General features: G+C 43.2%; 1 protein-coding gene across 12 annotated transcripts in view, besides 1 other annotated feature; it reads right to left on the bottom strand.

The window, feature by feature from the left end:
- Positions 1-22009, bottom strand: part of SV2B (synaptic vesicle glycoprotein 2B) — a 202978-nt gene that overhangs the window by 153170 nt on the left and 27799 nt on the right. For 4 of the 12 annotated variants that reach the window (NM_014848.7, NM_001323037.3, XM_047433392.1 and 1 more), the window contains exon 2: positions 20586-20673. The exons of the other annotated variants lie outside the window; for them this stretch is intronic. The gene's annotated coding sequence lies outside the window, so the exon portion shown is untranslated. The remainder of the gene's footprint in view (positions 1-20585; positions 20674-22009) is intronic. 12 annotated transcript variants of the gene reach the window in all.
- Positions 13805-14054: an enhancer, noted in NCBI's record as "active region_10109". NCBI's record gives its function as "activates an Ori minimal core promoter by ATAC-STARR-seq in GM12878 lymphoblastoid cells {active_cell/tissue: GM12878}" and the evidence as "EXISTENCE:reporter gene assay evidence [ECO:0000049][PMID:35858748]".

Here is a 22009-nt window from a genome sequence, read left to right as displayed (position 1 = left end):
ATCAAGAAGCATTTACGGATCACCCAACTGTTTTACTATACCCTGTGGGGTGGATCCTGTCAGCTGGGGCCACCGATACCATCAGTGCCCACTCCTATCCCCTCATCTTACTACTAAAGAGCAACCTTCAGACTTCCGATGGCCAGCACCTGCATTGCTTTGCCTGCAGGCATCCTCAGGCCAAAGCCCATCTGCCAGGTCGTGAGCAGGACAGAGTAACAGGGATTTCAATCCCCAGCAGCCCTCAACCAATGATTGGTAAAAGTGAGATAGGACCAGTCTATATTTTTCAATAGATCTTGAAGTCAATCCACCAGGATTAAGAGCTGGCTGCCCATGGTGGTAGCCAAATTGACAAATGCCCTCTGTCCTGGTCAATGCGATTAGTCCATGGGGTGCCCAGATATTTGGTTAAATATTATTCTGGATGTGTCTGTGATGGTGTTTCTGGATGAGATTAACATTTGAATTAGTGGACTGAGTAAAGCAGAAGGCTCCCTCCCAATGTGGGTAGGATTTATCCAGTTCATTGAAGGCCTGAATACAACAAAGGCTAGGTAAGAAAGAATTCTCTCTGCCTGACTGTCTTTGAGCTGGGACATCAGTCTTCTGCCTTCAGATGTGGACTCAGACTGGACCTTACACCATCAGCTCTCCTGGGTCTCCAGCTTGCCAACTGCAGATCTTGGATTTCTCAGCCTGCAAAATCATGTGAATCAATTCTTCATATATATAATATATGTGTATATTTTATATAAATATTCCCTATTGACTGTGTTTCTTCAGGGAACCCGGGCTATATACGTGGCTTCTCCTTTTCATCTCACTTTCCCATGACTTTACCAGGCTTTACTTCACACTCAGACAAACCACTTGCTTTTGAAGCCCTGTTTCAGGATCTGCTTCTGGGGGAACCCAGACTAAGATGGGCTAACCCAACAGCACGCCTCATCGCTTCTCACTTGCTGTCTCCCCACATTGAGGCTGGAAACCCAATGTTGGCTTTTCCTGCTTCCTGTGCTATATGACCCAATCTTGGTCAAAGATACATTTTTAAAAGTCTCAGAGAGGCAGAGGGGCTCTAAAATGCTACTTCATTTCTTGTTAAAAGGGAACAGGCCAGGCACAGTGGCTTATGTCTGTAATCCCAGCACTTTGGGAGGCCAAGGCAGGCAGATCATGAGGTCAGGAGTTTGAGACCAGCCTGACCAACATGGTGAAACCCCGTCTCTACTAAAAATACAAAAATTAGCCAGGCGTGGTGGCACACACCTGTCATCCCAGCTACTTGGAAGGCTGAGACAGAAGAATTGCTTGAACCCGGGAGGCGGAAGTTGCAGTGAGCCGAGATTGCACCACTGCACTCCAGCCTGGGCGACAGAGCAAGACTCCATCTCAAAAAAAAAAAAAAAAAAAAAAAAAAAAAAAAAGTTGGGGGGGGTGCGGGGTGGGGAACAAACAGAAAACTGTTGTTTCTTCCATCCTTTTTCCTGTCTTAAATGCTGCAATGATACCTGGAGTTTCACCATCTTACAATCATAAGGAATTAATATCCCCTAAAGTCCTGTAACATCTGCCATCCCTGATAAGACCAGCCCCAATATCTAATTGTTTCCTCCTAGGCACTAGACCTATAATATTTTAAGATATTAACTCTCCCTTCCCGGATTCAGGCAAGTAATGAGTCTTGCATGTTTGATATCCAGCAGACGTTTAGGCAGAGCAGAAAATAAATTACCTGAAACTGTCTCTGACTTGTGTGTTCCAAAAGCCTATGGCCTTCGGGAATGAGAGATTCTAGGGATGGACTGAGTGCCTTAAAGAGCAGAAAAGGGAAGTTGATCTCACTCAGACTAAAAAGAGATTCCCCTGGGCTGGGGAAGGAGCACAGAAGCAAAGAATGGATAGAGGTCTCTGAAAGCAGGAAAAAATCCTGCTGTCCCTCATGGCCTGCTTGTCTGTGGCACTGGCACTGAAATGACACGACCCAAGAGGGGAGTGGCTGCATGGCACATCTGGGCAAGCTGGAACACCAGCATCTCTGCAGAGATTTGCATCCACCCCACATCTCAGGGAGCTCCAGAGGACTCCCAGGTCAGAAGGACCTGCAGGAAGGGATAGTGTAATTCTAGGTGGTAGGCTTTGAGGACTGGCAAGCCAACACTCTGCCAACATGGTTGAGAAATTCTGGCTGATACGTTCACATTCCTTTAGGGACACAGACATGTGAAGAGTTTAAGGCTAAAAATCAAATAAGACAAATTCATTTTTTTGGTCTTTCAATAAATATGAGTTCCTATTGTTACTAGGCACTGGAGACATAAATAAGACATCATCTCTGCTCTCAAGGATCTTAGTCTAATGGGATAAATGCTTACAGCCAACGTGTAGGCTCATGAATTGAGTTATATGGCTCAGAAGCTTTGCAAACATTGCATGAGTCACTCTTGATCAAAGGAGGCATTCTGTGCACCATTTATGAATGAGCAAACAAGACACAGAGAGGTTAAGTGACTTACCAAAAATCACACAGTCACTATAGTGTGGTGTTCAGATTCAGACTGTGGTCTGACTAATGTCATTGGACAGGTTCCTTCCACTTTGTTCACTGTTTTCCAATGCCCATAGAGAGCCCAGAGGGAGTCTGTGGATGACTTTTTATACTGTAGTCCCTGGTAGAGTTTACCCAGTAGAATTAGTGGTGTCAAAAAAATAAAATATACCTAACTAGAGAGGTGAAAGATCTCTACAAGGAAAACTACAAATACTACTCAGAGAAATCAGAGATGACACAAACCTAAATGAAAAAACATTTTATCCTCATGGATAGGAAAAATCAATATCATTAAAATGGCCACACTGCCCAAAGCAATTTATAGATTCAATGCTATTCCTATTAAACTACCGTTGACATTCTTCACAAAACTCGAAAAATTTTTTAAATTTATATAGAATTTAAAAAGAGCCCAAATAGCCAAGTCAATCCTAAGCAAAAAGAACAAAGCCACAGGCATCATGCTACCTAACTTCAAACCATACTACAAGGCTACAGTAACCAAAACAGCATGGTACTGGTTCATAAAGAGAGCCAGAAATAAGACCGCACACCTATAACTATCTGATCTTCAACAAACGTGATAAAAACAAGCAATGCGGAATGGATTCAATAAATGGTGCTGGGATAACTGGCTAGCCATATGCAGAAGATTGAAACTGGATCCCTTCCTTACACCATATACAAAAATTAACTCAAGGTGTATTAAAGATGTAAATGTAAACCTCAAAATTATAGAAAACTCTGGAAGACAACCTAGGCAATACCAGTCTGGACAAAGGAATGGGCAAAGATTCTATGATGAAGACACCAAAAGCAATGGCAACAAAAGCAAAAGGTGACAAATGGCACCTATTAAACTAAAGAGCTTCTGCACAGCAAAGGAAACTATCAACAGAATGAACAGACAACCTACAGAATGGGAGAAAATGTTTGCAAACTATCCATCTGACTAAGGTCTAATATCCAGCATCTATAAGGAACTTAAATTTATAAGAAAAAAACAACGTCATTAAAAAGTGGGCAAAGGACATCAACAGAGACTTTTCGAAAGAAGACATAAATGCAGCCAAAAATCATGTGTAAAAAAGCTCAGCATCATTGATCATTAGAGAAATACAAATCAAAACCACAATGAGATATCATCTCATACCAGTCAGAATGGCTATTACTAAAAAGTCAAAAAATAACAGATACTGCTGAGGTTGTAGAGAAAAAGGAATGCTTATACACTGTTGATGGGAATGTAAATTATTTAAACCATTGTGAAAGACAGTATGACAATTCCTCAAAGACCTAAAAACAAGAATACCATTCAACCCAGCAATCTCATTACTGGGTATATACCCAAAGGAATATAAAGCATTCTATTATAAAAACATATGCACATGTATGTTCATTGCAGCATTATTCACAATAGCAAAGACATGGAATCAACCTAAATGTCTATCAATGGTACACTGAATAAAGAAAATGTGGTACATGTACACCATGGAATACTATGCAGCCATAAAAAGAATGGGGTCATATCCTTTTCAGGAACATGGATAGAGCTGGAAACCTTATCCTTAGCAAACTAATGCAGGAATAGAAAACCAAATATTGCATATTCTCACTTATAAGTGAGAGCTAATTGATGAGAACACATGGACACATGGGTGAGGGGGAAAGCACACACTGGAGTCTATTGGAGGATGGAGGGTGGGAGGAGGCAGAGGATCAGGAACAATAACTAATGGGTACTAGGCTCAATAACCTGGGTGATGAAATAATCTGTACAACAACCCCCATGATACAAGTTTACCTGTATAACAGACCTGCGCATGTACCCCTGAACTTAAAATAAAAATTAAATTTAAAAAAAGAATTTGTCATGTCTTGCTATTCAAAGTGAATTGCTACATCTGCTAAAGCTCTAAGTGACTTCCATAAAAAAAAAAAAAAACAGTTCTCTTCATCACACCTTAAGGAAAACAGCAACCTTCTGTATGCACACATTAATTAACACGGCAGAAATAGATTGGAGTTAATTATAGAGCCCTCCTACTTAAAAATGAGGAATAGGCTGGCTGCCAAGGAAGGCTGAGTGCCATGGAATAAGGTAAGAGAAGTGGAGAAAGCATGGCGTCTCTATCCCGTGTCCTCTTCTGAGAGCTGTCCCGCTGTTGAAATGCAAATGGTTTGGTGGTCAATGCCTCTGAGCTGGCCACAAACTCAGCAAGTCTCTCAGCTTTGAACATGTGCTCTCTTTAAGTAAAGGTCTTTCACCACTAGAAAAGATGCACACATCAATTATTAAGAAAGTATTATAGCAGGAGGAAGGAAAAATTGCATGTCATTTTCCTGGCATTCAATATTTTTTCATTATTTATTACTAGTATCCATCTATTTGGGGAAGAATAAGCAAATGCTTTTTTAAAAAAAAATCATGAATGTTTCAACCCAAGAGCTGGAGAGATATTGGGCAGCATGTTACCCAAGGTCCAGAAAACATACATTTGTTACTAAATCCCTTGAGTTTTCTTTTTCTGCTTCAAGCACACCAAGGAGAAGTATATTTGAGAATGCTACATTCCTCAAACCACTCCAGTCCTGTGTTTAACCTTCTGGTTTTTTGTAAGTACATATATCAGCCAGGAGTCTCATCTTGATTCCTCTAGCTAGTTCCTGCAGGTGTATAAACATTATCTGGCTTCTTCAAAGTAAAATATGTGTGGCATCACCAACAAGTACTACTAGAGTAAATAACATTTTCCATTACAAAGAGAGTGTATAACCCAAAGATTTTAAAGGAGCTCAGTATTCTACCTTCTCCAAGAATGAAACAGAATCATGTTTGACCAGTTATCACCGCCTACATGAATAGAGTATTGTGTCTTAAAGGCTATAAGACTCTCCCTCCCATAATAGAAGACAGACTCTAAAGAATCCAGTGATGAAGGGCACTTTACCCATTTAGAAAAAAACAGTGCAGCTCACTGCCAGTGCTCATTTAATTTTGCATTAACATGCTCTTCGAGGCTGAAGCAAATCTGACCAATTTTCAATGTGAAAATAAAATATAAAAACTGTTCTTGGAGTTATTTCTAAACAGAACAAACATCAGAATCGTCTGAATCATCAGAATCATCTATTCCAGAAAAATCGGACTCATCAAATGGGTCTGCACCCAACAACAGTTCGAGAATGATGTTAACATCACACGTAAGAATGCTGCGTTTTCTGGGATTTGACACTTTCGGCGATCGAGAATTACTATATTTTGTAAATGGAAATAGCACTACTAAAAACAGAATGCTATCGATAGAATGATGTCTTTTGTTTGCAAAGTCAATACACTGGAGCAATGTGAAAATAACAATAAAAGTGAGATATTTCGTGACAAACTTATCTCAGGGTAAATGCTGCCGCCGCAAGCGCCACCAGCAGGTATTCTCGGGGCAAATGGGAAAAGGGTTAATGGCAACCTGTTTCAATGGTCCCCAGACCTGGGTGTGCATGACAATCAACTGGGGAACATATTTGAAAGGCTTCTGAGCCGTTCTAGACATACTGAATCGTCTCTAATAGGACCCAGGCATCTGTATTTTGAAAATGCCTTCCCCCAAGCGGTTCTTATGGACAGCCCTATGTGGGTACCTCCCATCCAAATCCAAATTCCCACAGCGACACCCCAACCAAGCCGTCCTCCAGTCTTTGCTTAATTAATACCTCCCATGAGAGTGGACCCACCCGGTCTGTCCCTGGACAGCACCAACACTTGGGAAACAGCCTCCCTGGAACTCCCAGCCACTGGCTGTGCTGTCACAGGTGAGTAAGAGGAGCCTCATTTACACTGAAGCAGCAGCAGATTCTGCTACCTGCACCTAAAAAACCGTTGAAAGAAAGATGCATGCAAAGATGCAAATTGCAAGCTGTAAAAATGTAAGAGTATATGCTAAACTTTATTTTTATAAAAAATGATTTTCTTGTTGAATTAAATTCAAATAAGTGTTGAACTAAACACAGTTTAGAATGGACCCTACTGTCCTCTATGGTAGAAGTATAAGTGATTAAGAATACAATGCAAAGAATATAGGTTTTTAAACCACACCTTGGTTGGATCCTGGACCTTCTATTTACTGTCTGAGTGGCCTTGGGCATATTATTTGACCCCTCTGATTTCCATTTCTTGGAAAGCTGGGATAAAACTAATAGAATAGGGCTGTTGTTATGATACAGGCATTCAATAAATGTTAGTTCCCTTCCTTCCCCTTCTGTTTGTTTTTCTTCTATGATCAATTTGTCATAGGATCTTATCATTTCTTAAATATCTCCTGATCTAGTCTTTCTCTCCATTGCTAACACACCACCTACATGAGCATTCCTGTATTTCCTCAGCATCTCATTACTTAAATATTTAGGCTTGGAGGGAGATAGGAAATAAATGATTACTTAAGAGCAAGCATTGCAACTTTTTTCAGGAAGTTGTTCTCTTTGTTCAGGAAAATATCTTGAAATGCCACTTGGGGCAGCAGACACCCAGACAGCATGAGTTAGCAAGTGAAAAGGTAGCAAAAGAGGTAATTAAATTGTTCCTCATTTGAAGTGAACTGGACAGAGTAAGCACAGAAGAGAGGAGACAGGGGAGGGATGAGAGAACAGCAAGGCTGTGGGCACGCAACAGGAACAGGGGTTGAGAATCAGCAGAAGTCAGAGTCAAGGGGGACTTTTGAAGATGCCTGTGAAATGCAAGAAATCTTGGACCTTTCCAGAGTGTAGAGTGGAGTGTGATCCCATCATATCCAGCTCTTAGGGTTCAGGGCCTCCAGCTAACATCTAGGCTGAAATGAGTTCCTGCAAAGCCGTGTATCTTACCTCTCTGCCTCCCTGCTCTCTTTGTGCCATTCCTCTGCTCAGGAGCTCTGAGGATCCTTGCTCTGAGGATCCACTGTGGGACCCTGTGTTCTCTACTGCCAATTCCCGTCCGACAGTGTCAGTCTTTTAAACATACACCCTTTCAGGTACAGCATCTAACTCTCTGAATGTAACTTTCTGTAATATCCATTAGCAGAAAAAGATGTTGCCAAAATGTGACCTCTGTCCAAAAAAAAAAACAAAACAAAACCCAAACTATTTGGCAACTCTATTGGCTTGAACCCTTAGGAAAAAAATAATAATATGAATGATTTATTAAGCATTCACTGTGTGCCAGGCAATAGGCTAAGCATTTTACTTATATTCTGTCATTTAATCTTCACAAGAGCCCTCTCAAGTAGATATTACCCTTACCACTCTTTAGACATTCAAAGCAAAGCTCGCTGGAATTTGGTAACTCGCTGAAAGTCTCACAGATGGTAAGTGGCAGAGCTGGCCCTCAAAGCGGAACCTCTCTCCACCCTTGACCAGGATACCTCAATGAACTCACTTATCACCTGGATTAGGAGCAGGTTAGAAAGCTAAACTACTAAGATGCTCCTGAAAACTCCAAGTCTTCCTGAAGAAGAGCAAGGCCCTGTTCTGCAAGACACCCTAGATGATGCCAGCAAAAATCTGGAAACACTCCACGCCCTTGCTAGAATAGCTCTAACTCAGCATCGGCAGTTCCCAACTCAAGCTGTACATCAGAAATCCCCTAAGAACCCTGCCAAAATTGGAGTTTCTCAGGCCTCAATGCAGACCTACCGAAGAAAATCCTGTGGGAATGGGGTGGAAGAAAGGGCTACTTTTTAAAAAATGGTCTCCAAAGAATGTAGCCAGTTCCAGAAGTGGGGTTTAAGAAACAGTGTGATCCTATGCCACTCTTAGCTATAAGTCCTGCCACCTGAGTGCTTGTAGCACTTCTGGCTTCCATCATGAAAATAGTTCTATTTTAAAAGAAGTTGGAGGAAGTGTGGAGAATCTTAGTGTTAACATATGTTCATCTGAGGCTGTGTGGTTTCTCTTTGCTGCCTGTGGCCATAAGAAAACAGAGAGTCTTCTATCTCGGTGTGTGTTTATCAACCCCCAGCAAGGCTCTAATCAACCAGGGGCTCATCCTATTGTCCTTAATACAGAGGTGATAAACAGCCACTGAGCCATGCCAGAAACTTCTTCAAGACAAACAGAAGCATGCCTTTGGTAGAAGGTGGTGTTTTAAGCCACAGAAGTATCTAGTACATGTCTCACACCCAGTCCTGGTTAGTCCAGGAAGCCTAGTGTGGAAAGAAAAACTGACTGTCAGACATGTTCTCCACTCTGTTGGAGGAGATCAAAGAGGAGAGCAATGGGCTACTCCTCAGGCCTCGGGTTAAATGGAAGCAGACCTAATGAATGAGCTAGTGCTAACTAGGGGCCAGTTTCAGCCAGAAGTGTGTGGGAAGTTCATTTGGAGGAACTCCACGAATTGGCACACAGGAGAGATATACACCTAATTAAAGCTTCCTTTGAGAAGGTGATATTTTTGTTCTCCTCCTCTGGGAGAAGCACTAGACTTTTGAGACAGAAAATGCTGAAAGGCATTTTTATTATTTTAAAATCCTTCTTAATGGATAATTGATGAATGACTTTTATTAGACTTTATTTATAGAATTACCTGGTACTGTTAAAATGTCAAGGCTTGAGAAAATGTAACTTTGTTCCTAGCTGCTATTACTTTGAAGAAAAATAATGAGCATTGTGATACTCACGGAATGTTTGTTAATAGCTGGATGGACAACAGCTCAGAAATGTTTGCCTACACCAGTGGTTCTCAAACTCGGTACATCAGAATCACCTACTGGGCCCATCCTCTGAGTTTCTGATTTATTATGTCTGGGTCAGGACCCAAGAGCCTGCATTTCTAGCAAGCTCCCAGGTGATGCGGATGCTACTGGTCCAAGGACCACACTTTGAGAATCATTGACCCAGAGCATGAGCCCAATTTCCAAATGATCTGGGCTGAGACGCAGGCTGTCACTCTCACCAAACTCTAGGAACAAAGTGGCCGGATCTTCCTCCCTTCCTTGGCTACCAGAGGGACCATATAGCTTGGTTTCTCCAGGACAATCTTAGTTTACGTCTTTTACAACCAACTGACGCCTGTTAATTATCTGAGTACCTCCTTGCATCCTCAAAAGTGTCTCAGTTTAGATGATAATTGTTACAGTCACCCTAATGTTTGCTCCTATTTGCTTAACCCTAATCCGTAGGAATCCCACATACCTAAATGGAGGGTGCTCTCTTTCAGACAGAATTTGCTTTTGCCTTCTCTGACAGCCAGGGACACTGTAGACCTGGGATCACCTTAGCTGGGGTTGCAGCTTAACTTAGTGCCCTTAGCCCAAGGCTTACTCTCCTTACTACAGCATTGATAGCGGTGTTTGCCCTCACCCTGCTTTTCTGTTCTGGGTGCTACTTGTACACCTCTCCCTGCCTCCATTTCCCAGCTCTGGTTTTAGCTCAAGGGTGGTATTTTTGCTGCTGTTGATATTATGGCTGTTGTTATTTAGGGTTAGAGAGAGGTTCCTTGGAAGTTTCCCTTACTTCTTTTTTTTTAACATTTTATTGTGGAAATTTGCAAGCACATTCAAAAGTAGAGAGAATAATTTAATGAACTACCATGTACCCACCAGCTAACTCGAACAATTATCAACTCATTCCAATCTCATATCATCTATACCCCTACCCAGTTCTCCAACCTCCTTCCCTTCACACCACCATTGGATGATTGTGAAGCACAGCCCAACATCATATGATTTTAGCCATACGCACATCAGTAACAATTTTTAAAGAATAGGACTCTATTTTGAAATAATCAGTATGCCATTATCACACCTAAAAAGTGATAATTTTGTAACATCATTAAATATACAATCAGTGTTCACATTTCCCTAATCGTCTCGTAATTTCACTGGTTTAATTGTTGAAACAGAATCCATAGACGTTCTATACCTTGTATTAATAATTGGTTGATATCACTTTCTTTAATAATTTATGTTTCCCAAGCTATCTCTTTTTTATTCATTGTGCCTTATTTGTGGATGAAACCAGATAGTTTGTCCTATACAGTCATCTCTCAGTAACCGTGAGGGATTGGTTCTAGGACTCCCTGCAGGTAACAAAACCCATGGATGCTTAAGACCCTTATATAAAAGACATAGTATTTACATATCATGTATGCAGGTCTTCCTGTATACTTTAAATCATCTTTAGATTACTTACAATACCCAATACAATGTAAATGCTATATAAATATTTGCTATACTATATTGTTTTGGGAATAATTACAAGAAAAAAAAGTCTGTACCCATTTAGTACAGATGCAACCATCCATTTTTTTAAAAAAATCTTCAATCTGTTATTGGTTGAATCCATGAACTCAGAGTGCCAACTATAGTTCTCATAGAATGTGTTTTGCTGTTTGCATTCCTATGGTGTCATTCAACATGTTATTCTGTCCCCTGTGTCTCCCATAAATTGATAGGTCAGTCTAGAACTGTGCTGTCCAATACAGTAACCAAGAGCCACATGTGGCTATTTAAATTTAAATTAGTTATAATTCAACAAAATTTAAAACTTAGTTCCTCGGTCACACTAGTCTTATTTCAAGTGCTCAACACATGCATGTGACTACTGGCTACTACGTTAGACTGTGCAGATACAGAACATTCCTATCATTGCAGAAAGCTCCATTGGACATGCTCCGCCTCAGATTCAGGTTAGGGTTTTTTTGGTTGGTTTTTGTTATTGTTGGGTTTTGTTTTTGTCTTGTTTTGGGGGTCAAGGCTACTTCATAGGTAGTGTTGTGATACTTCTATCAAGATACATATAAAATCTTGTCTTTCTTCATGTGATGTTAACACTCATTGGCAATTATTGCCTAGACCCTGTAATTCAGATTACAGAATTCCAATTCTGTCACTGTTTTTTCATTTGTCAGCTGGAATACTTCTATAAAGAGCAAATTCCCCTCATCTATCATTTGGTTGTCCTGAGATATAGTTTGTATTGGAAAGGCAAAGTAAACACCTGATTCTCTCTTCTTATTTACCAGTTTTCAAAATAATAAGTTGGTTTCCTAGTATCTTCCAAAAGTGACCAGTGAGGTGTTCTATTCTGAGCACCATTATAAACCTACAGGTTAAACATATTTGATGTGTTCCGATGAATTAATGCTGTTGGCTACAATTAATAACCTGTGCAAATGTGTGTGTGTGTGTATATATATATGAAATATATGTATATATGAAATATATATGTATATATGAAATATATGTATATATGAAATATATATATGAAATATATATATATATGAGAAATATATATATATATATTTCACATTTTCCTAGTTTTGTCCTGTAGTTTTGGAATAAAATCTAATAAGTGAGATTTCTGAGTCTCAAAGTAAATATACATGTAATTTGTCTTCCACCTCATGCCTGACACACAGTTACTCACTAGTGATTTGTTAACTGCTTCATCCATTGTAAATATAATTATAAGTTAAAAATAAATAATAGCTTTGTGGTAAACGCTTTGAAGCCACCCTCATCTTCCATCTCACATTTAGAATCACACAATTTTTAAAACAATGGAGGTGGGTAGACTCTAATATGAGGGTGGCTTAAACAACTCATTAACTGGGGTGATTAGTAGTTGGAGACTGGAGAAGTGTTCCACTGACGTATTTAAGTTTTTAATAAAACCATTTAAAGAATTTATACAACCATGAAAAAATACATGGGATTTGGAGGTTATGTGACCTGGCCCTCTCACCTCCCAGCTGAGGAAACTGAGGCTCAGTGACTGCCTGCTTCTTACGAGTCACCCCAATAACTGGTTTACAAGTTGCATCATTCATACTCTTCCCTAAAAATCACATACCAGTGCTTTTGCTTTGCCTGCAGGTTGTCTTCTGCGTGGATCAAATTTTCATTCAGGAGCAGATAGTTTTTCCTTCATCTGCCAAAATCCCGGTCAAGGTAAGTTGCCATTGACCAGGAGAGCAGGAATAAGCTGGCTACCCAGAGCCCTCTTGCTTCTCCTGCCAAAGCTGCTTGCCCTCTTGTTTCATCACTGCCACCCACCTCTGGATCCCATGTGCCAGCCTTCAGATGCCTCTTGGCACAGCAGGAGAGCTGGTCAACCCGGCTGTCACCACCCCCTCCTCCCTGAGGGAAGGAAGCCACCCCATTCCCGCTCCCAAGAGACAGATCTGCTGACAACTAAAAAGGCAGTCTGCCTTACGGGAACCTAGAGCTTCCTTGCTCCAGGGTGTGAATGGAATGGTTGGCCCCACCTGGCTGTCAGGTCAGGGCTCAGCAAATTAGGCCAGTAATGAAATGAAGATGTAAAGGGCTTGCAGACAGCTGAGTCAAGAGCCTTACTCCGCCGCACAGTTCTCTCCCTGGGACAAAGCACCCGAGACGCATGGGCCTTCCCACTGGTTCTCCACTAGCTGGATGGGCACGGGTAAATAAAGGTTCTCTCTCCGAGAATATACCTAAGGCCCCTAGAGAGTAAGTCACCCACAAACTGACCCCTTACATTCTGGCTGTCAGATGCATCAACCCTACATCAAACCTTCCAGCAACCTGCTGAGGTCGGCCGCTCTCTCCCGACTAATCTGAGGTTTATACCTATGCTACACTGCATCTGAGTATGCCCACCTGAATGGCATCCTGCTAAGTTCTCTCCAGCAGGCCCCTCTTTGGCATATCAGAGACCAGTGGCATTTAATCTGGGATTCCCAGATCCCTAGGAGTCTGTGAAGGCAGTACTTTGTGAAGGTGGTAAAGTACACAAAGTTTTCAGAATGTTATGGTTTATATTATCTTCATATCTAACTTTATATTATTTTCATATCTACACATGCCAAAAAAAAAATCAAGTGTGTGTGTTGGGGAAGAGGCAGTGGGAGAAAGCTGCAATCGTGTGGTTCTCTTGCCCTCCTGCAAGGTGAAGGCTAACAGCACTTCCTCCTAGGAGCTGTGTTTTGTAATGAACAGAGAGGAGTTTTAGGAGAGGCAGACCTGGGTTACAATTCAGGCTTCATGAACTGCTAGCCATGTGAAATTTGAAAAAATAATCACTGCAAACCCATCTTTTGTCTCTAACACTAGGCACATACCCCAAACTTCACAAAGCAGAGATGTGAAATAAGTAAGTAGGCAAAGCACCAGAGTTTCAGAAACACAGTAACGGCTCAGTAAACGCTGGTTCCTTCTACTATTACCTTTCCCTGGCCTTTATGAATGAGCAGGCAGGATGGCGTCATGGTTTCGATTTTCATATCAGACAGACGCTGTTTTACATTCAGCCCCACAGTTATGGGTGACTTATCCCTCCAAGCCTGAGTTTTCTCATCCATGAAAGAAAATTTTCTTGCAACATTGCTGTGATGATCAGAGATAATGTACCATGAAGCACTTGCTCAACAAAAAGTACCTCTGTTTTTCATGGTTGTTCCCCTCACCACCATGTAGGTAGCTGTCAACTGAGAAGTATGACACCCCCGACACGGGAGAATCTGAGGTGAAGCGGGAAGAGTGAAAGATTCATGCTGAATGCCAAGTGTTCTCAAAGGGGTGGATATTGCCTCCAACGGGATGAAAATTGGTTTTTGAAAAGGGTGATAATCTGCTCTTTGAGGGGAAGGAAAAACAATCTTAGATATCACAATGGTTTGTGGCCTCTCAAGGGCCACAGTACATAAAAAGATACACGGTATATCTGTAGTATTAGAATTTCATGATGGCGGAGAGGGGTCCCAGCTACTTGGGAGGCTGAGGTGGGAGGATCACGTGAGCTGGGGAGGTCTAGGCTGCAGTGAGCAATGATCACAGTACTGTGCTCCAGCCCGGGTAACAGAGCAAGACCCTGTCTCAAAATAAAAAAAAAAAAAAAAAGGTTGAGAAATACTGTTATACAGAGACCAGAAACATCTGAGCAGAAAAGGAAATGGTTGACTGGGAAAGCAATATTCCACCTCTGCATTAGAACGAATGGTTGGGTAAAGAGGTAGGCTGAGAAAATAGGTGGGACTCAATCCCACCTGCTGGAAGCCTAGAAATGATTTTTTGGTACAGGGCAGTTTTTGTTGTCGCTGTTGTTTTTATTGGGGTTGTTTGCTTTTTAAAGAAAAGGAGCTAATAAATATTGAACACTTATGTGTTAGGAATTGTGCCTGGCACTTCATATATGTTACTCCAACAGGACCATGAAAAGTAGATGTCAGTTTAACTGATGAAAAAGCTGAGGTTCTTAAATGTTAAGCAAAACATTTCATTCCAGAGCCTGTGTTCTTTCCAGAGTGGCCACCTTCCCAAGTTGCTCCAGACAGTGCCTGATCACGCCGGGTGTCCTGGAGTCATTTGTAAAAAGCACCCCCTTTTCGCTCTCTTGCAGGTTTGGATCCTAAATTAAATAATCATCCTAGTTGCAGCTACTTTGTGGCTCTGTCCATCCCTCAAGGTATTTCCACAGGGAAGGCCTAGAATCCCAGCGGTCTTGAATGGATTCTGAATTGTAGCAACATCCTTATCAGAAAATGCAAAGAGGTCCCTGGGAAAGAAGAAGTTGAGTGATGACAAGGAAGTGGTGGAGAAGGCCGGGCCTGTGGCTCACGCCTGTAATCCCAGCACTTTGGGAGGCGGAGGTGGGTGAATCACCTGAGGTCAGGAGTTCGAGACTAGCCTGGCCAACATGGTGAAACCCATCTCTACTAAAAATACAAAAATTAGCCAGGCGTGGTGGTGCACACCTGTAATCCCAGCTACTTGGGAGGCTGAGGCAGGAGAATTGCTTGAACCCAGGAGGCAGAGGTTGCAGTGAGCCGAGATCACGCCACTGCACTCCAGCCTAGGAGACAGAGCAAGACTCCATCTCAAAAAAAAAAAAGGAAGAAAGAAAGTGGTGAAGAGGCATGGGAGGACCTTATTTTTAAGGTATCTCAACATGCCTCACTTTTTAAGCATCCTGCAAAAAGCCCTCATGTGCATGTGGACGTTTCCGAGCTCCAAGTATGCAAAACCCCAAATGTGATCACCATAAGTGCACTGCAGAAGTTCCAGCTTCTCATGGATCGCATACCTGGAAGGCTCACTGACACCCAGGCAAGGGAGAACAAGAGAAATCAGAAGAAGCCCCAGTCAAAGACTTTGTTGCCATGGCGCCAAGCTGTGTCCAGTGACCCTGCTGCCTGGGGACAGGAAGTGTGGAGAGTTTGGAGTTGCAGACTCCAGACAGCAGCCAGCGAGCACCTGCCTCCTGGGCAGTGGATGGAAGCCCTGCCGCCTGTCCCCACTCTGGCCTGGGCATTTTCTGCAGACCCTCACAGGGCTCAATAAATTGACATCTGCAGGTTCAAGCCGAAGTCGAAGCTAGAGATGTGCTATTTGTGCCTACCTCTGAATAATTTAACACTCCCTCCAAAATAGACTATCATTAGAATTTGTCAATTCCAGTGCATTTGAGCAGAGAACCTCAACCAAAAAACAAAAACAAAAAAAAAAGGAAAAGGAAGAAAAAGTTCCCACACATATTGCCTCAGAGTAGTGAAACAGGAGGATGGCGGTTCAATTTTGTTCTTTGTTTGTTTGTTTGTTTCATCAAAACCCTTTGCTTCCTAGTGCATCAGCCCCAACAGGAAATGCTGTTTTTTCATGTCTAATTAGCCCCGAGACCCAGTCTGTGCTGTGGGCAGGAGATGCAGGAGAAAATGCTTAATTCCTACAAATGCACCGGTGTCAGTTTCCACCTGCACTGCTTATTCTTTGCTGTGATCATATTGAAGTCTCTTAATCTCTATGATCCTCAGTTTCTCCGCCTGCAAAATGTGAATAATGATGTGGCCTCCCTCATGGGGGTGTTACAGAATTAAATAAACTAACAGAGGTAACATACTTCTCTCAAGGCCTGGCACGCAACAGATGCCCAATAGTCTTTAGTCTTTTAGCCCTTATTATGCACTGGCCTTAAGTGAAATGGCGCCAATTCCCATGAGGAACCAGAGACATGCACAATTTTCAGCCCTACATTAACTCACTTTTTTTTTTCTTTTTGAGAGACAGGATCTCACTCTGTTGCCCAGGCTGGAGTGCAGTGGTGCGACTATAGCTCACTGCAGCCTCAAACTCCTGGGCTCAACGGATCCTCCCACCTCAGCCTCTCCAGTAGCTGGGACTACAGGCATGTGCCACTGAGGCAGGAGAAATAGGGTCTGGAGGCAAAAAACCTAAATGTTTCATACCGACTTCCTAGAACTAAATCAAAAGGAAAACCCTAACTTTCCACTCCTAAGTAACAAAAGGACCAGAGGCTACTGGTCCCTTTGACCTTTTCTGCAGAGCAGATGGAAAATTGGCTGTCTGCAATAAATCAGACTGAATGAGGGTCCCGTCTTCGTTTGCAACTTTGTAACTTCACTCCAGCCTCTGAATGGTTGCTGTCCACAACCAATCAGACTGATTGCAGGCCAAGTCTTCATTTGCATAGAAGTATAACTTTACTTCACCCTAACCCCTGATTGTTTTTGCAACCAATGTTTGCACAGGTGTGTGACCTTTGTAACTTCACTTCAGCCTCTGGTTGGCTGCTTTCTGCAACCAATCAGACTGATTGTGGGCTACTACTTCATTTACATGAGGTGAGCATGAAGCAGCCAATGGGAAACTTCTAGAGGGTATTTGGACCCGAGACGATTCTGTAGCTGGGCTCTTGAGCCGCTGCTGGGGTCTGCGGCCACACTGGAGTGTACTTTCATTTTCGATAAATACCTGCTTTCGTTCTTTTGATGCTTCATTCTTTCTTTGCTTTGCTGGGCGTTTTTGTCCCATTCTTTGTTCAAAACACCAAGAACCTCAATAACTTGCAGTCACGACCCTCTACCAGTGACATCACCACACTTGGCTAAGTTTTGTTTGTTTATTTGTTTGTTTTTTGAGACAGAGTCTCACTCTATGGCCCAGGCTGGAGTGCAGTGGCACAATCTTGGCTCACTGCAACCTCTGCCTCCCACGTTCAAGCAATTCTTGTGTCTCAGCCTCCTGAGTAGCTGGGATTACAGGCACCTGCCACCGCACCCAGCTAATTTTTGTATTTTTAGTAGAGACGGGGTTTCACCGTACTGCCCAGGCTGGTCTCAAACTCCTGACCTCAAGTGATCCGCCTGCCTCGGCCTCCCAAAGTGCTGGCATTACAGGCATGAGCCACCACACTCAGCCACTTTTTTGTTTTTTTTGTTTTTTTTTTTCAAATTTTTTGTAGCAATAGAGTCTCACTATGTTGCCCAGGCTGACGCCAAATTCCTGGCCTCAAGCAATCCTTCTGCCTTTACCTCCCAAAGTGCTGAGATTACAGGCATGAGCCACTGCACCCAATGTGCAAACCCACTTTCTTTTGCCCATTACTTAGGCTGCCAAACACTCACAGTAAAATATATACATATACACATACACACACAAACATATATGTGTATATGTATACATATATGTGTGCTTATCTGCCCAACCCCCCCCAATACAGATGTTCAAATCGACTGACCCCCAGTCCTGCTTGTCAATGCCCCTAGTTGTGCTTAGTTTTATTCCCCGTGAGGGCTGTTCCAAACCTTTTCCCTGGACTGGGTGCAGTGGCTCACACCTCCCAACACTTTGGGAGGCCAGGGCAGGAGAATTGCATGAGCCCAGGAGTTCAAGACTAGCCTGGGCAACAAAGTGAGACCTTGTCTCTATTTAAAAAAAAAAAAAAAAAAAAACAAGAAAACATCTTTTCCCTGAATCTCCCCCCATCTCCAAAACCCTTCCTGACCTCACTCGCTAGTTCATTGAAAGCCTTCTCTCAGAAAGTCTCCCAACTTCACCCACTCCCTTCTCCTCCTCTCCCTCCACAGCGTAGCTACCCTTTTCTAAGGCTAACCCCCGACTGCTCTCAGCCCCACACCCTCCCATGTGTTCCTGAACTTGGATCCATCAACCATCTCCTCCTTTTGCATCTTCAAGTTCCTTCTCCTCACACTCTCATTTTTTACCCTGTAAAAATACTAAAATATCACACATCCTAAAGACATTTCCTTCAATCCTCTTTCCTACAAGCTTGGCCAACATTCTCCCCTTGCTTTCACCTCCGAACGTCTTGAAGGACTCACTGAACCGTGCACCGCCACACACTCCCCTCTTTGCCCCCAGGACTGCAGCTCTTCTTCTCACCTCCATGCAGGCAGTATGTCTGCAAGACTCACAAGCCACATCCTGACTGACACGCAGGAGCTTCCTCTTGGTCCCTGTCCTCCGTGAACACCTACTTGGTCAGACCCCTCCTGCTTTGGAATCTCTGACACCAGCTTTCTCCTGACTCTTCTCCTTCCTCCCCAAATGCAGCTGCTTCTCTCTCTCTCTCTCATTCCCTGTTCCTTACCCTCCACTTCCATTTTCAATGCAAATCTTCTCTATGGTTCTAGCATGAGATTTTCTGCTTCTATTCTGTCTCCCTGGATGATTTCAGCCACTTCTGCCACATGATGCTTCAGCCCTAGCCAAGCACGTAACTCCAACCCTGACCTTGTCCCTGAGTTGCAATTGGTTCCTGAGCCTGTTCACTCAAGAGAGCCCAATATGGAATTCAGTATTCCTCCAACACTCCTCCCATCCTCTCTCCCAGTTGCCCTAACCTAAGAACCTCAGCTGTGTCACTCCTCTCACTCTCCTCAGCCCCACTTCCTAGACTTGCCAAGTCCTAGCCGTTTCATCTCAGCATTAAGAATCATCTCATCCATCTCTCCTTTCCTTTCTCCTACCACTGTTCAGGTTCAGGCCTTGGCACGCCTGACCTGCATGCTGGCCACAGCTGCCCACGTGGCCCCAGGCCTGTCGTCCCTCTCTTCCCAATTTATCCACCCCTAGCGTTGACGGCCATCTCCTTGGAATGGTTGTTAATATCACCTCCCTTTGCTGAGCCTTTGCCAAGGACCAGGCACTGAGCTAAGCGTGTTACATGCATTATCTCACTTAACCCTCCCGAGATCCCCGCATGAGTACTCTTCTTGTCTCTCTTTTACAGATGAGGAAACACAGGCTGAGGAAAACCATACTTACGGTCACACAGTTAGTAAGTGGCAGGGCTGGGATTCTAATCCAGGCTCTCCAACTCCAGGGCACAGGCCAGAAGCCACGAAGTTATACTGCCTCCATCCACAGACCGTATCACATCAAACAGATCGCCTCCAAAGAAGCCTCCGCTGGCTCCCTCATACCTACCACTGCCCTCTGCATGGCCCCTAAAGCCATCTGGAGGCAACCAGATGCAGTCCTAGTCTGTGCCCAGTGTGCTGTGCTGGGCACATGTGACCTTCTGTTTTGGTTCTGTCCACCCTTGCAGCTTCATCCATGCACTAGGGCCATACTCCGGTTCTGGGCTTTTCCAAGACATACATCTTTGCTGATCCCCACCATTGCACTTGACTCAGCCTCAATGCTCCTTCCTCCCCCAGTTCCATCTCCGGACAATTGATTTCTCCCCCTTCATCACAACCCTGCATTTTACGTATACCTTTGCCACAGCCTTCCTTTCACTTTACCTTATGAAATGGTAAATTTCATTTATGAAATGCAAATACATGCAAATGCACATGTATTCAACCCACTTGACTCTAACTTTCTTAAGGTTGGATATCTTTGACCTACTCATTTCTGTAATGTGTCATGTACCTACCCCAGGGCATGTTAAATATTTGTTGAAGTGACTTGATCCCAAGGATCTCACACATACGCTGTCGCTGGGATTATTTCACTCCTGTTTGAAAGGCAGCAGGACATAAGACTTACATGTGGCCATGTAGGGGCCAAGGGCTCCCTGGCCCTCTGAAGTTTCACCAAAAAATCAACTCACAAAAGCAGATTAATTGGAAGGCAGGCATACAACTTTATTTGACGTGTATCCACGGGAGCCTTCAGAATGAAGACCCAAAGACACAAGGGAAATTGGCCATTGTTATGCATGGGTTCAACAAAGTATAGACAGCCATGGAGAAATATGATTGGACAAAAAGGATAGGATCTAGTGCTCATGACTAAGTGAGGAAACCCAGAAGACCTACCTGTCTAGATTCCTCTGGTCATCTCTGGGCAGCATTCCTTCCTTCTGGGTGTGGGGCAGGGCCCTCTCTGGACTGAGAGTCTTAGGACCTATAGTCAAAGAAGGTTGGTCAGATAATTTCTTTATGGCCAGGTTTTACACAGAAAGGCAGAGGGAAGTGGGAGTAGTATTTTTAGGTTTTATGGCTGGCTTTGGGGAAAAAGTATTCTGGTTTCTATGATCTGCCCTGGGAAAGAAGGATTCTAGTTTCTATGGCTAGCCTTGAGAGAGACTGGGACTGAGAGACAGACGGGGAGGAGAAAAACACTTTCGCTTCTGAGGCCTTCATTTTTGGATATTGTTTTCTGAGCGCCAATAGCAATGTAGGGATCTCATATTCAGCCAGGTGAGGGTTTGCGGGGTGGAATCAGACCCTGGGTAAGTACCTGGTCCATTCACTTTTTCTGACTCTGCAGAAAAATCTTACTAACAAGCTGCAAAGATAATTGTCAAGGAAAGAACAGAACAGCTTTTACATTCTGACACCTCCTCCTGCTCTCCCATCCCACCTTCTTGGAGAACAGCCTCTGCGGATGACTCACTGGTGGAAGAGGGTGAAAACAGCTCCCAGGAGGGACTGAAAATCTCCGCTACACAAAGAGCTGAGTTGGTGATGGGATTTGTCCCCAGAGGGTGGAAACACAGTTTCTGCACAATCCCAGATTTAATTTGAGTCCCTGGGATGAACGTGACAATGATAATAAGAGCTTTCACAGGTATATTTTTCTCTTTTTCTCCAGTGCAATAGGTTCAAATACCTGAGGGATGTTTTTCTCTGCAGAGCACCAAATGCCATTCTTCATGACCTTATCCCAAGTTTCCTCACAGTTCATAAAATGCATGTCACTTTAATGCTTATAATGAGAAAAAGAAAAGAAAAGCTCAAAGAACTACTCCTGAATCTGCATAGCTTTGCAAAATTAGCACAGAAATTCTGGCAAACCCCTGGGACTATTACTATGCCCCAATATGCACAAGTTAAAACCTTAACTCCACTATGGAGGCAGCATGCTGAAGCTCAGCAGAACACTGAGACCACATGTCTCACTCCTCCTGCCCTCCACCCACCACACTTCCCCCTGCAACTCAGCTCCCTGCACACACAAACACCTTCTGGGCTGTCCCTGGGCCCCTTCTGTGACTGTCATGCCTCTGGAGTATTTCTTTTCTTTCTCATCCAAAAGGTTATTTGTTCAATAGAAAGAGCTTTTCTTTCCCGAAATCAGGACAGTGTGGACAATCTGCTTTCTAAACCCCTACTGAGCCTTCCTGCTGAGGGATAGAAGAGCGGCCGGACAGTGCCGTCAGTGCGGGGGCTTGGAGAACAGGATGCCTTCCCGGCAGTCCCAAGCAGAAGGCATGGCAAAAATGAGCTTGTTCTGGAAC

Source organism: Homo sapiens, chromosome 15, assembly GCF_000001405.40.
Source record: "Homo sapiens chromosome 15, GRCh38.p14 Primary Assembly".
Taxonomy (NCBI): Eukaryota; Metazoa; Chordata; class Mammalia; order Primates; family Hominidae; genus Homo; species Homo sapiens.
Note: the sequence above shows the minus strand (reverse complement) of the source record. Positions and strands in the feature narration are given on the sequence as shown.